At 39.4% G+C, this 12,795-nt stretch overlaps 1 protein-coding gene and 1 long non-coding RNA gene across 11 annotated transcripts in view; one reads left to right on the top strand and one right to left on the bottom strand.

The window, feature by feature from the left end:
* LOC124904162 (uncharacterized) overlaps window positions 1-12,795 on the top strand; it is a 104,986-nt gene that overhangs the window by 18,583 nt on the left and 73,608 nt on the right. The gene's annotated exons all lie outside the window — the stretch shown is intronic.
* CCDC30 (coiled-coil domain containing 30) overlaps window positions 34-12,795 on the bottom strand; it is a 201,084-nt gene continuing 188,322 nt past the window's right edge. For 9 of the 10 annotated variants that reach the window (NM_001355226.2, NM_001395384.1, NM_001395517.1 and 6 more), the window contains 4 exons: window positions 12,417-12,531; window positions 10,907-11,089; window positions 3,781-3,848; window positions 34-3,406 (listed from right to left, as the gene is read on the bottom strand). In NM_001355226.2, the coding sequence (NP_001342155.1) occupies window positions 3,196-3,406; window positions 3,781-3,848; window positions 10,907-11,089; window positions 12,417-12,531 (577 nt within the window). In that variant the 3' untranslated portion in view covers window positions 34-3,195. Of the gene's footprint in view, window positions 3,849-10,906; window positions 11,090-12,416; window positions 12,532-12,795 lie in introns of all 10 variants that reach the window. The other variant, NM_001355227.2, reaches the window with a different exon arrangement.

The raw sequence follows: 12,795 nt of genomic DNA, 5'->3' as shown, positions 1-12,795 counted from the left end.
TTAGTGAAAGAAGGGGACCTTGGGCAAGGCTCATTCAATATAACAGCATGCATTTAATAAAATAGTTATTATTTCCTAGTTCCTATGATCATCTTTCTAGCTCTGTTGTCTGAGAAAGCAAGGATTACATATAAAAATACAGTGTGTCTCAATGTAAAGGGTCATTTTTATTTCTGGTTACTGATCCTCTCCTCTTGGTCTCCTCCAACTGAAAAAGAAGAAAGGGGAGGAGGGGGAAAAGGAACAGCAGCAGTCACGCTTCAGTATAATTTTATACCAACTGTTTTAGAATAAATCTTTAAAATTGATAATATCCAATGTTGATGAGGTTGTGAAAAAAATAGTACATTGATAAACCTCTAGTGAAAATAAATGATGATAGCATTTATTAAGCAGTTACTACGTGCTAAATACTTTACATGCTTCATTTCATTTGGTCCTCACAACCCTATGGGATAGAGAACTATTATTGTTCCCATTTTAGGAATCAAGAAATTGAGGCTCAAGGAGGTTGAGTAACTTGACTATGAAAACAGTATGTTGACACACTTTTTATTTATTTTATTATTTATGTATTTATTATTATTATTTTTTGAGACAGAGTCTCACTTTTTGCCCAGGCTGGAGTACAGTGGAGTGGTCTCAGCTCACTGAAACTTCTACCTCTTGGGTTCAGGTGATTCTCGAGCCTCAGCCTCCCGCATAGCAGGGACTACAGGTGTGCACCACCATACCCGGCTAATTTTTGTATTTTTAGTAGAGACAGGGCTTTGCCATGTTGGCCTGGCTGGTCTTGAACTCCTGGCCTCAAGTGATCCACCTGCCTCGGCCTCCCAAAATGCTGGGATTATAGGCGTGAGCCACCGCACCTGGTCAGGCAGAACCCTTTTTTAAAGCAAAGGAAGTGATGTCCTAGAGCAATATTAACATTTATATCCTTTGACTCAGTCCAATCTTGCGAATTTGTTTTCTGGAGTAATTCAAAAGAAGAAAAGAACTACATGCACAAAGACCTTCAACACAGCATAATCTTAAATAGTAACAAAGTAAAACCAGGCCTGGCATAGAGGCTCATCCTATAATCCTATCACCTAGGAGGCTTAGGTGGGAGGATCACTTGAGCCCAGAAATTTGAGACCAGCTTGAACAATAGAGTGAGAGTGAGACCTCGTCTTTACAAAAAGTACAAAAATGAGCCAGGCATGGTAGCACATGCCTGTACTTGGGAGAGGCTGAGGAGAGAGGATCACTTAAGCATGGGAGGTTGAGGCTGCATGAGCAGTAATCAAACCACTGCACTCCAGCCTGGGTTACAAAGTGAGACCCTGTCTCAAAAAAAAAAAAAAAAAAAAAAAAGTAAAAACAGCTTAAATGCCAAACAAGAGAACGTTTAATTTATAGAACATCCACATCCTCAGAGATACTGAGCAGTACTGTTCCACCCTGATAGATGAAATGGATGTGAATGTTGCTGATCTTTTCTGAAGAAGCAGTCCCACTACACTAAAGATGAGCTGGAGACTGTTCACCTACTTTGTACTCCTGTTTGGAAATATTTAGGGGTAGTTTCTGTGTAATGGGGTTTATGTGAACTCTCTTCTCATACCCCCTCCCCCAGGAAAAGCTCTTGGTATTTTCCTATCCACTTTTATTTTATTTTATTTTATTTATTTTTTCGAGATGGAGTCTTGCTCTGTCACCCAGGCTGGAGTGCACTGGTGCAGTCTCGGCTCACTGCAACCTCTGCCTCTCGGGTTCAAGTGATTCTCCTGCCTCAGCCTCCCCAGTAGCTGGGACTACAGGCGCGCGCACTACCACACCTGGCTAATTGTTTTTGTATTTTTGTTAGAGACGGGGTTTCCCTAAGTTGGCCAAGCTGGTCTCGAACTCCTGACCTCAGGTGATCTGCCCACCTCGGCCTCCCAAAGTGCTGGGATCACAGGTGTAAGCCACCACGCCCAACCTCCTATCCACTTTTAAATAATGTATTGCTCTAAATCTTCTTCATTAAACATTTAAAACTTTTCCCATAAAAATAATTATAGAACATCAACATGATTGAATATCATATGGCGATTGAAAATGTTTCCATGGTATATACAGTAAATTAAAAATCAAACTGTGAAAATGAATATACAATATTATAATAACCACTTAGAATATATGTACTTGAATTAGGACCAAAAGGGAATAACTGTAAAATAAAATTAGTTGTGTTAAGACTGTGGTATTGGTGTAATCCCAGCACTTTGGGAGGCTGAGGTGGGTGGATCACCTGAGGTCAGGAGTTCAAGACCAGCATGGCCAACATGGTGAAACCTTGTCTCTACTAAAAATACAAAAATTAGCTGGGCATGGTGGCGGGCACCTATAATCCCAGCTACTTGGGAGGCTGAGGCAGGAGAATTGGTTGAACCTGGGAGGCAGAGGTTGCAGTGAGCGGAGATCATGCCACTGCACTTCAGCCTGGGTGACAGAGTAAGAGACTCCGTCTCAAAAAAAAAAAAAAAAGCTTATGGTATTATAGGAGGGTTTTTGTTTTTGTTTTTTGCTTTTTTTGAGACGGAGTCTCACTCTGTCACCCAGGCTGGAGTGCAGTGGTGCTATCGCAGGTTCACGCCATTCTCCTGCCTCAGCCTTCTGAGTAGCTGGGACTACAGGCACCCGCCACCACACTCGGTTAATTTTTTTGTATTTTTAGTAGAGACAGGGTTTCACCGTGTTAGCCAGGATGGTCTCGATCTCCTGACCTCGTGATCCACCCACCTCAGCCTCCCAAAGTGCTGGGATTATAGGCGTGAGCCACCACGCCCAGCATAGGAGGGTTTTTTTAAAAACAAAATTTGCTTTAATGTGACTGTATTGTTTTTACTGTTAAAAAATAAATCAGAAAAGATACCCATGATAATGGGAAAGAATGTTGAATTAACCCTACATGTGCTCTGCTGAAGAGAAACCTAAATAAATCATTGAACTAAAGTCAATATTTTGGTCAATACAAGGCATCTGAGGATATCAAACAAACTTGAGAAATCCATTTTTACAACTGCTTTAATGAATTTATCAGCAGTTTTGAAGACTCTTGGGTGATATCCATTTGGGATCTGTGGTAACTCTTCTCAATGTCATGGTCCACCTTTTGTCCAGGCTTTAAATTACCACTTTTGTTCAGTATAGCTTTAGGCACCAGTGATTTTATAGTTCTGACTTTTGGTCTTGTTCTTGTATACCATGTGTCTCCTTCAGAGAAGCCACATTTATGTATCCAGCCTCAGAATTCTGTGAACACACAAGATTCTCAGGAGACTTTTCAGGGGACTTTGAACTTGCCATTGCTTCTTTTGACTTGATCTCTTCAGTCTCTTGAAGACTTGCAAATGACTCTACCAAACCTTTTCCTGAAAAACTAAGAAATGCCATATGTGAGGACATCATGTACATAGAGTTTGTTGGTAGCAGTTCGGGGTTACAGGGATACAGGCATTGATAGAATTTCAATTTTTTGCAACTGTTACACAAAGCCAAATAAAATTTACCTTAAACCTATGTTCATATTTTATTTCCTACCTTAAGTCAGGATTCTGTGGGGTTTAGAGTTGAAGGAGTGGCAAGGGGAGGAATTGGAAGAAGATTCAAATAATTCATGTAGAGAAAATGACCCCAGAAAGCTATGCCTTCTCAAGCCAGCAATCCAGGACTAGTTAGGCAGCCATGACTCTCAGGCATGGCTGACAGTCCATCTCAGATAGACTTGACTTTATTTGTCTTGACTTTACTAACCTGGAGTTTGATAAAGGCAATATTTCATTCACTACTTCGGATTCAAGGATGTCACTAATTGTTGTTTCCTAAAAGGAAAGAAAGGATGAATGTGAAAAGTTATAATGATAAACCATTAGCTATATGATCCTAGAAAAAAATATATATATAATAGATACAATACCTGCACATAGTACAAACAATGAAAAACATAAAAGGGTACAGAATGAAAAGCTGGTTGCCCTCTCTCTCTCTATATATATAACCTATCTATATTTATCTATAGACGATCTATCTATATCTGTCTATCTAGTTTTACACACATGGTACTATACATACTATCTTCACCTTGCTTCTTTTGTTATATAAATTTTGGAGATATTGCAGAAAATTTTATTTTTAAAATAACTGCTTTGTTGAGAAGTAATTCACATACTATAAAGTTTTCCCTTTTAACGGGTTCAATTCAGTGCTTTCTAATGTACTCACACACTTATGCAACCATCACCACTGTCTAATTCCAGAATATTTTCATCACCCCCCAAAAAAGCCCATACCCAGGAGCAGTCTACTCCCCATTTATTCCTCCCCCAAATCCTTGGCAATCACTAATATACTTTCTGTCTTTATGGATTTCCTTATTCTGGATGTTTCATATAAATAGAATCATACAATATGTGGCCTTTTATGTCTGCCTTCTTTAAAATATTATCATGTTTTCAAGCTTCATTATGTTAGAGTAAGTATCAATAGTTTATGTCTTTTATGGCTGAATAATATTCCAGTGTTTGGATAAAACACATTTTGTTTATCCATTCATCAGGGGATGGAGAGTGGGTTGTTTTCACTTTTTAGTTATTATGAATAATGCTGCTATGAATATTTATCTACAAGTTTCTGGTAGGACATATATTTTTATTTCTCTTGGATATTGTGATGGTCAGAAAGTTTTTTCAAATTTTTATTTATACTATTGAATATTGACAAATTATAAGTGCCTATACTTACGGTGTACAAAGTGATGCTATGATATATAATATGGAATGATTGAATTGAGGTAATTAACATATCCATCACCTCAAATACTTACTCCTCCGGTCTAACTGAAACATTGCACCTTTGGCCAACATCTCCCCATTGCCTCCTCACCCCTCAGCCTCTGGTAACCAGCATTTTGCTCTATGCTTACATGTGTTCAATTGTTTTAGATTCCACATTTAAGTGAGAAGATGTGGTATTTGTTTTTCTGTGCCAGGCTTTTTTCACTTAGCATAATATCCTCCAGGTTCACCAATGTTGTTGCCAATGACAGAATTTCCCTCCTTTTTAAGGTTAAATAGTATTGTATCATATATATATACCACATTTTCACACACCATAGTGTATATCACATACTGACTTCAAATCCTTTGGATGTATACCCAGAAGTAAGATTGCTGGATCATATGGTAGTTCTATTTTCACTTTGTTGGGGAAACTCCACAGTTTTCCATAATTGCTGTACTAATTTATATTCCAAACAACAGTGTACAAGGTTTCCCTTTTCTCCACATCCTTGCCAACACATTATCTTTCATATTTTTGGTTTGTTGAGATAGGGTGTTGCTCTGTCACCCAGGCTGGAGTGCAGTAGCATGAACATAGTTCACTGCAGCCTTGACCTCCTGGGCTTAAGGAATCCTCACACCTCAGCCTCCTGAGAAGCTACAACCACAGGTGCACACCACCACACCCAACTAATTAAAACAAAAAAAATTTTTTTTTGTAGATACAGGGTCTTGCTGTGTTGCCCAGGCTGGTCTGGAACTCCTGACCTCAAGCAATCTTTCCACCTCAGCCTCCCAAACTGCTGGGATTACAGGTTTGGGCTACCATGCCTGGCCCTTATCTTTCATCTTTTTGATAACAGTCATTTTGACAGGTGTGAGGTGATATCCCATTGTGGTTTTAATGTGCATTTCCATAACGATTCATGATGTTGAGCTTTTTTTTTTTCATATATCTGTTGTCCATTTGTATGTCTTTTTTTGAGAAATGTCTATTCAGGCCCTTTGCCTACTTTTTAATTGGGTTGTGTTCTTGCTATTGAGTTGAGATCCTTATATATTTTGGATATTAATCCCTTATCAGATGTGTAGCTTACAGATATTTTCTCCCAATCCATAGGTTGCCTCTTCACTCTGTTAATTGTTTCTTTTGCTGTGCAGAAGCTTTTTAGTTTGATATAATCCCATCCCATTTGTATATGTTTGTTTTTGTTCCCTGAGCTTTTCGTGTCACATTGGAAAAATTGTTGTCCAGGTCAATATCATGTAGTTTTTCCCCTATGTAGTGTTCTTCTAGTAGTTTTACAATTTCAGGTCTTGTCTTTAAGTCTTTAATCCATTTGGAGTTGATTTTTTAATGTGGTGTTAGGTAACGGTCCACTTTCATTCTTCTGCACATAGATATCCAGTTTTCTCAATACCGTTTTGTTGAAGGGACTGTCCTTTTCTCAATGTCATTTTCATCCTTTGTCAAAAAATTAACTGACTGTAGGCCAGGTGTGGTGTCTGACACCTATAATCCCAGCATTTTGGGAGGCCAAGGCAGAAGCATTGCTTAAGCCCAGGAGTTTGAGACCAGCCTGGGCAACATGACAAGACCCCATCGCTACAAAAAATTTAAAGAATTAGCTGAGTGTGATGGCGTGCACCTATGGTTCCAGCTACTTGGAAGGCTGAGGTGGGAGGATTGCTTGAGCCCAGGAAGTTGAGGCTGCAGTGAGCTGTGATTGCCACTGCTCTCCAGCCTGGGCAGCAGAAAAAGAAAAATCAATTTTAAATGTGTGGGTTTGTTTTTAAGCTCTCTATGCTGTTTCATTTTGTCAATGTGTCTGTTTTAATGCCAGTCCCATGTTGTTTTAATTACTGTAGTTCTGTTATACACACACACACACACACACACACACACACACACACACACACATATATATTTTTTTAGACAGGGTCTTGTTCTGTTACCCAGGCTGGAGTGCAGTGGCACAATCATGGCTCACTGCAACCTCTACCACCTGGGCTCAAGCAATCCTCTTGCCTCAGCCTCCCAAGTAGCTGAGATTACTATGCCCAGCTAATTTTTTACTTTTTTGTAGAGATAGGGTTTTGCAATGTTGGTCTTGAACTCCTGGGTACAAGCTGGTCTCAAACTCCTGGGCCCAAGCAATCTGCCCCCCTCAGCCTCCCACAGTGCTGGGATTACAAGCCTGAGCCACCGTGCCCAACCTGTAATATAGTTTGAAATCAGGTAGTATGAGGCCTCCAGCTTTGTTCTTTCTGCTGAATATTGCCTTGGCTATTTGGGGGTTTTGTAGTTCCACATGAATTTTAGGACTGTTTTTTCTATTTCTACGAAAAATGACATTGGAATTTTGATAGGTATTGCACTGAACCTATAGATTGCTTTGGGTGGTATGGGCATTTTAGCAATATTAATTCTTTCGATTCATGAACATTAATATCTTTTCATTTATCGTATTTTCTTCAATTTATTTCATCAAAGTTTTGTAGTTTTAAGTATACGGATCTTTCACCTCTTTGGTTAAATTTATTCCTGAGTAGTTTATTTCTTTTGAAGTTATTGTAAATGGTATTATTTTCTTTATTTCTTTTTTGGATAATGTGTTATTGGTGTATAGAAGCACTACTGATTTTGGTGTGTTGATTTTGGTGTGTTGATTTTGTATCCTTCAACTTTACTATATTTGCTTCTTAGTTCTAACAGTTTTTAGGGATTTCTATATATAAGATCATGTCAACAAGTAGACACAATTTCAGTTTCCTTTCCTATTTGGATGCCTTTTATTTCTTTCTCTTGCCTAATTGCTCTGGCAAAGATTTCCAGTATATATGAAATAGAAGTGGTGAGCGTGGGCATCCTTGTCTTGTTCTTGATCTTTGAGAAAAAGCTTCCAACTTTTCTCCATTGAGTATAATGTTAGCTGTGGGCTTGTCATATATGGCCTTTATTGTATTGAGGTACATTCCTCCTAAACCTAATCTTTTGAGAGTTTTTATCATGAAAGGATTTGAATTTTGTCAGATGCTTTTTCTGTATGTAATAAGATGATCATATGGTTTTTGTCCTTCATTCTATTAATGTGGTGTATCATGTTTATTGATTTGCATATGTTGAGCCATCCTTGTATTCCTGGGACAAATCTCACTTGATCATGGTGAATGATCTTTTTATAGTCTTGCCTGGTTTTGGCATCTGGGTAATGCTGGCCTCATTTAATGAGTTTGTTAGTATTCCCTCCTCTTTATTTTTTTTGAAGAGTTTGAGTAAGATTGGTATTCCTTCTTTAAATATTTGGTGGACTTCAGGAGTGAATCCAGCAGGTTCTGATCTTTTCTTTGATGGAAGACTTTTTATTATGGCTTTGATCATATGATTCATTATTCGTTTGTTGAAGTTTTCTATTTCTTCATGGTTCAATCTTGGTAGGTTGTATGTTTCTAGAAATTTATCCATTTCTTCTAGGTTTTCCTATTTGTTGGCATATGGTTATTCATAATAGTCTCTAATGATTCTTTGTATTTCTGAGATCTCAGTTGTTATGTCTCCTTTTTCATTTCTGATTTATTTATTTGGGTCTTCTCTCTTTTTTTCTTAGTTTGTCCAGCTAAAGATTTGTTGATTTTGTTTATCTTAAAAAAAAACCCAACTTTTTGTTTCATTGATCTTCTATATTGTTCTTTTAATCTCAATTTCATTTATTTCTGCTCTAATCTTTTTTGTTTGTTTGTTTTGTTTTGAGACAGAGTCTTGCTCTGTCACCCAGGCTGGAGAGCAGTGGCGTGATCTCGGCTCACTGCAACCTCCACCTCCCAAGTTCAAGTGATTCTGCTGCCTCAGCCTCCCAAGTAGCTGGGATTACAGGTGCATGCCACCACGCCCAGCTAATTTTTTGTATTTTTAGTAGAGACAGGGTTTCACTGTGTTAACCAGGATGGTCTCAATCTCCTGACCTTGTGATCCGCCTGCCTTGGCCTCCCAAAGTGCTGGGATTATAGGTGTGAGCCACTGCGCCCGGCCTGCTCTAATCTTTATTATTTCTTTCCTTGTATCAATTTTGGGTTTGGTTTGTTCTTGCTTTTCTAGTTTCTTGAGGTGCATCTTCAGGTTATTTGAAGTCTTTCCACTTTTTTGATATAGGTGTTTGTTGTTATAAACTTCCCTCTTAAGGCCAGGCATGGTGGCTTATGCCTATAATCCCAGCACTTTCGGAGGCTGAGGCGGGTGGATCACCTGAGGTCGGGAGTTCCAGACCAGCCTGACCAACATGGAGAAACCCCGTCTCTACTAAAAATACAAAATTAGCCAGGCATGGTGGCACATGCCTGTAATCCCAGCTACTCAGGAGGCTGAGGCAGGAGAATCGCTTGAACCCGGGAAGCAGAGGTTGCAGTGAGCCAAGATTGCGCCATTGCACTCCAACCTGGGCAACAAGAGTGAAATTCCATCTAAAAACAAACAAACAACAACAAAAAACTCCCCTCTTAATATTGCTTTTATCATATCCCATAGATTTTGTATTCCCATTTCCATTTGTTTCAAGATATTTTAAAATTTCCATCTTAATTTCTTAATTAACCCATTGGTCATTTGGGAATATGTTGTTTTATTTCCATGTGTTTGTGTAGTTTCCAAGGTTTTTCCTGTTATTGATTTCTAGTTTCATTTCATTGTGTTCAAAGAAGATACTTGACACAATTTCTGTTTTTCAAATTTGTACTTGTTTTGTGGTCTAAGATATGGTCTATTCTGAAAAATGTTCTATGTGCTGATGAAAAGAATGTGTATTCTGCAACAGTGGGTATGTTCCATAAGTGTCAGTTAGATCTACTAGGTCTAGTGTGTAGTTTAACTCCACTATTTGTTGATTTTCTGTTAGGATGATCTGTCCATTATGGAGAGTTGGGTGTTAAAGTCCCCACTATTATTAGGTTGCAGTCTATCTCACTTTAGGTCTATTAATGTTAGCCTTATATATTTGGGAGCTCTGGTGTTGGATGCATAGATATTTATAATTGTTATATTCTCTCGCTGAATTGGCCCTTTTATCATTATATAGGTTACCCCCCTTGTCGTTTTTAGTCTTTGACTTGTAGTCTAATTTATCTGATATGACTATAGCTAGTTCTGCTCCTCTTTGGTTTCCAGTTGCATGGAATATCTTTTCCCACTCCTTTTCAGTCTCTGTGTGTCTTTATAGATGAGATGGGTTTCTTGAGGGCAGTATATAGTTGGGTTTTATTTCTTTATCCATTCAGCTACTTGCTGACTTTTATTTTTTTGCATTGATTTTATTTATTTATTTTTTTGAGATGGAGTCTCACTCTGTCACCCAGGCTGGAGTGCAGTGGCTCAGTCTTGGCTCACTGCAACCTCTGCCTCCCAGGTTCAAGTGATTCTCCTTCCTCAGCCTCCTGAGTAACTGGGATTACAAGCACATACCACCACGCCCAGCTAATTTTTTTGTATTTTTAGTAGAGATGGGGTTTCACCATGTTGGCCAGGCTGGTCTCGAACTCCTGACCTCAGGTGATCATCCACCGCAGCCTCCCAAAGTGGATTACAGGCATGAACCACCGCACCCAGCCAAATCTTTAATGCTAGATCCCTGCCTCCTTTTTGGCTCTAGGTGGCACCTTAAGCCCAGGTTCACCTTGGCTCTAGTAAATGGTGAGAGCACTGCCTGTCCCAAATAGGGGAGGTCCCAAAGGGGTTATCCTGGCAGTGAGGGAAGGCTGTCTAGGGGCTCATGCCCAGGAGACCTGGGGGACATAGCTCCTACAGCCACTCTTATGTCTTCTTTGGCTGAGTTACAGAGCAGAGTCCCACCTCTTCTGTTTCAGGGATATTTCAGGGATATGCCTGTCTTCAGGGATATTTCTGCCTGCAGGAAGTTGTGATACTACTACCTGTGGGTTAAGACAAGGACAGGTTTCTGGCTAGGAAACCCAAGAAAGTGGGGAATCTGTTTGACTACCTCCGTTTTACTTTTTCCAGTGTAGAAACCATAAGTTGAGAGATTTTCCAAACAGTGGGTGCCTGGCAGAATGTGGGGAAGGGTATTGTGGATGTGGAAGTTGGATTCTCCTACCATCTGCTCAGAGTGTTTCCACTTCTCTGTGGCCTCAGGAACTGACTCATCCTCATGCTGGAGTTCTGCATTGTTGCTGGTGAAGACCTCAGTGCTGTATATTTCTTTCTGTTTCTTTGTTGGAGGGAGAGAAGCCAGCTTGCCTCTATGCCACCATTTTGGAACAGGAAACTCCTTAAGATTCTAAGTTTAAAAACAATTTTGGAGTTATTTATTTCAATAGGTATCAAGATGTTAGAAGTTAGTACCTTTGACACATACGGAATATTGAGTTTGATGTGCTATAGTTCTGATCCATGTGACCATTCTTATCTTCATTCAAGGTTAACAATATGGATCGCAAAGCTATTGGTCCCAGACATACTCCATTAAGTCTTCTAACTCAGCACTTGTAATACTATAGTACTTATTTACAAATGTGTTTGTCCTTCTCTAGTAGACCAAAGGCCTCTGAAAACAGGGACTATCTTTTTATTCCCAGGACCTAGGCCATTTCCTGGAATTGATAAGTATTCATTGAATGAATAAGTAAAAGAATGAATGACTAGACAATTGAAAACAGTTGTGGCTCAAGGAAAGACATAAATTACTGGATATCAAGCCACACTACTTGGCAGTTCTACTTTTGACAAAATCAGAAAAAAAAACGAAAACCCACTCATATAGCTTGGAAATAATCACCTCTCTGAGACCAAACAAGTCTTACAGCAACAGTGATCAACAAGCAGGATCTACTATCCAGTATCTTGGGAAGAAACATCTAGTAGGTGATATAAACCAGAGAAGAAAGTAATCAGCCTCCATCTTGGCTTCAGAATATGATTCTGTTCATTGAAGTCCCTCTTGCTGACTTGCTTACCAGACAGACTATGGACCTGATCTGAACCTGTACTATTTTCTGCATCTCTCTGTATTTGGCCACTTGTCTGCTTGGACTTTTGGAACATAATTGCTTCTCTTTCACTCAGATGCTCTCTTTAGGCTTGACTCTTTGCCATAGCAAACTTCACTTTACTTAACTGAGTCTCAGATTTGCTCATGTTTTAGATGGGGCTAGAATCATACATGGCAAACAGTGCTGTTGAGAGTAAGGCACATATGTTAAAACACTGAATATTTATTCATTCTCAAATATTTATGGAGTACCTGTCCATAGATACAGTAATATATGAGATACACTCCTTGCCCTCCAGGAACTCACTGCTGAGTTAATGAGATAGAGGAGAAAAAGGGCAATGACAATACAGTGTATTAAGGAAGAAGCTATGAGGCATATACAAATTGCTTGGAGATCACACAGGAGGAGATAGTTTACTAAAATCTGGCTGATCAAGAGCAGTCTCAGGGTCTGCTATCCTGGTGTGCAGCCAAGAGCCTCTTTGCCACAGCCTACCATGAGGCCAAGAGCCCAGCTACAGCTATATAAAGATGAAGGCAAGAGACAGCACAGCAGCCGTAGCAACCCGAACTTCACATTAAAGGCAGGCCCAATAGGAAGCACACATCTTACCTCTCCTCTGCGAATATGGATGCTCCTTATAATTCGCTCTAAGAAGCCAATCTGCTGTGTGAGACGAAGACTATTTTCCTGTAATTGCTTATTTTCTTTATCCATGTAAAGTACCCTAAGAATGGCATAAATCAGTGGCATGATTAGAGATTTCTGTATCATTACTAAAAACCCAAAACTACATCCCACTTCCCACTGGCCCCGGATCTTAGACTACTGTCCAGATTTTAGAAGCAAGTTTGACAGAATAATTCCCACCATATTCCAAGAACAAGTGTGTTGTTTAATACTGAGTGTCAACTTGATTGCATGGAGGGATACAAAGTATTATCCTGGGTGTGTCCGTGAGGGTGTTGCCAAAGGAGATTAACATTTGAGT

Source organism: Homo sapiens, chromosome 1 (assembly GCF_000001405.40).
Source record: "Homo sapiens chromosome 1, GRCh38.p14 Primary Assembly".
Taxonomy (NCBI): domain Eukaryota; kingdom Metazoa; phylum Chordata; class Mammalia; order Primates; family Hominidae; genus Homo; species Homo sapiens.
This window is presented reverse-complemented; position numbering and strand designations above follow the sequence as displayed.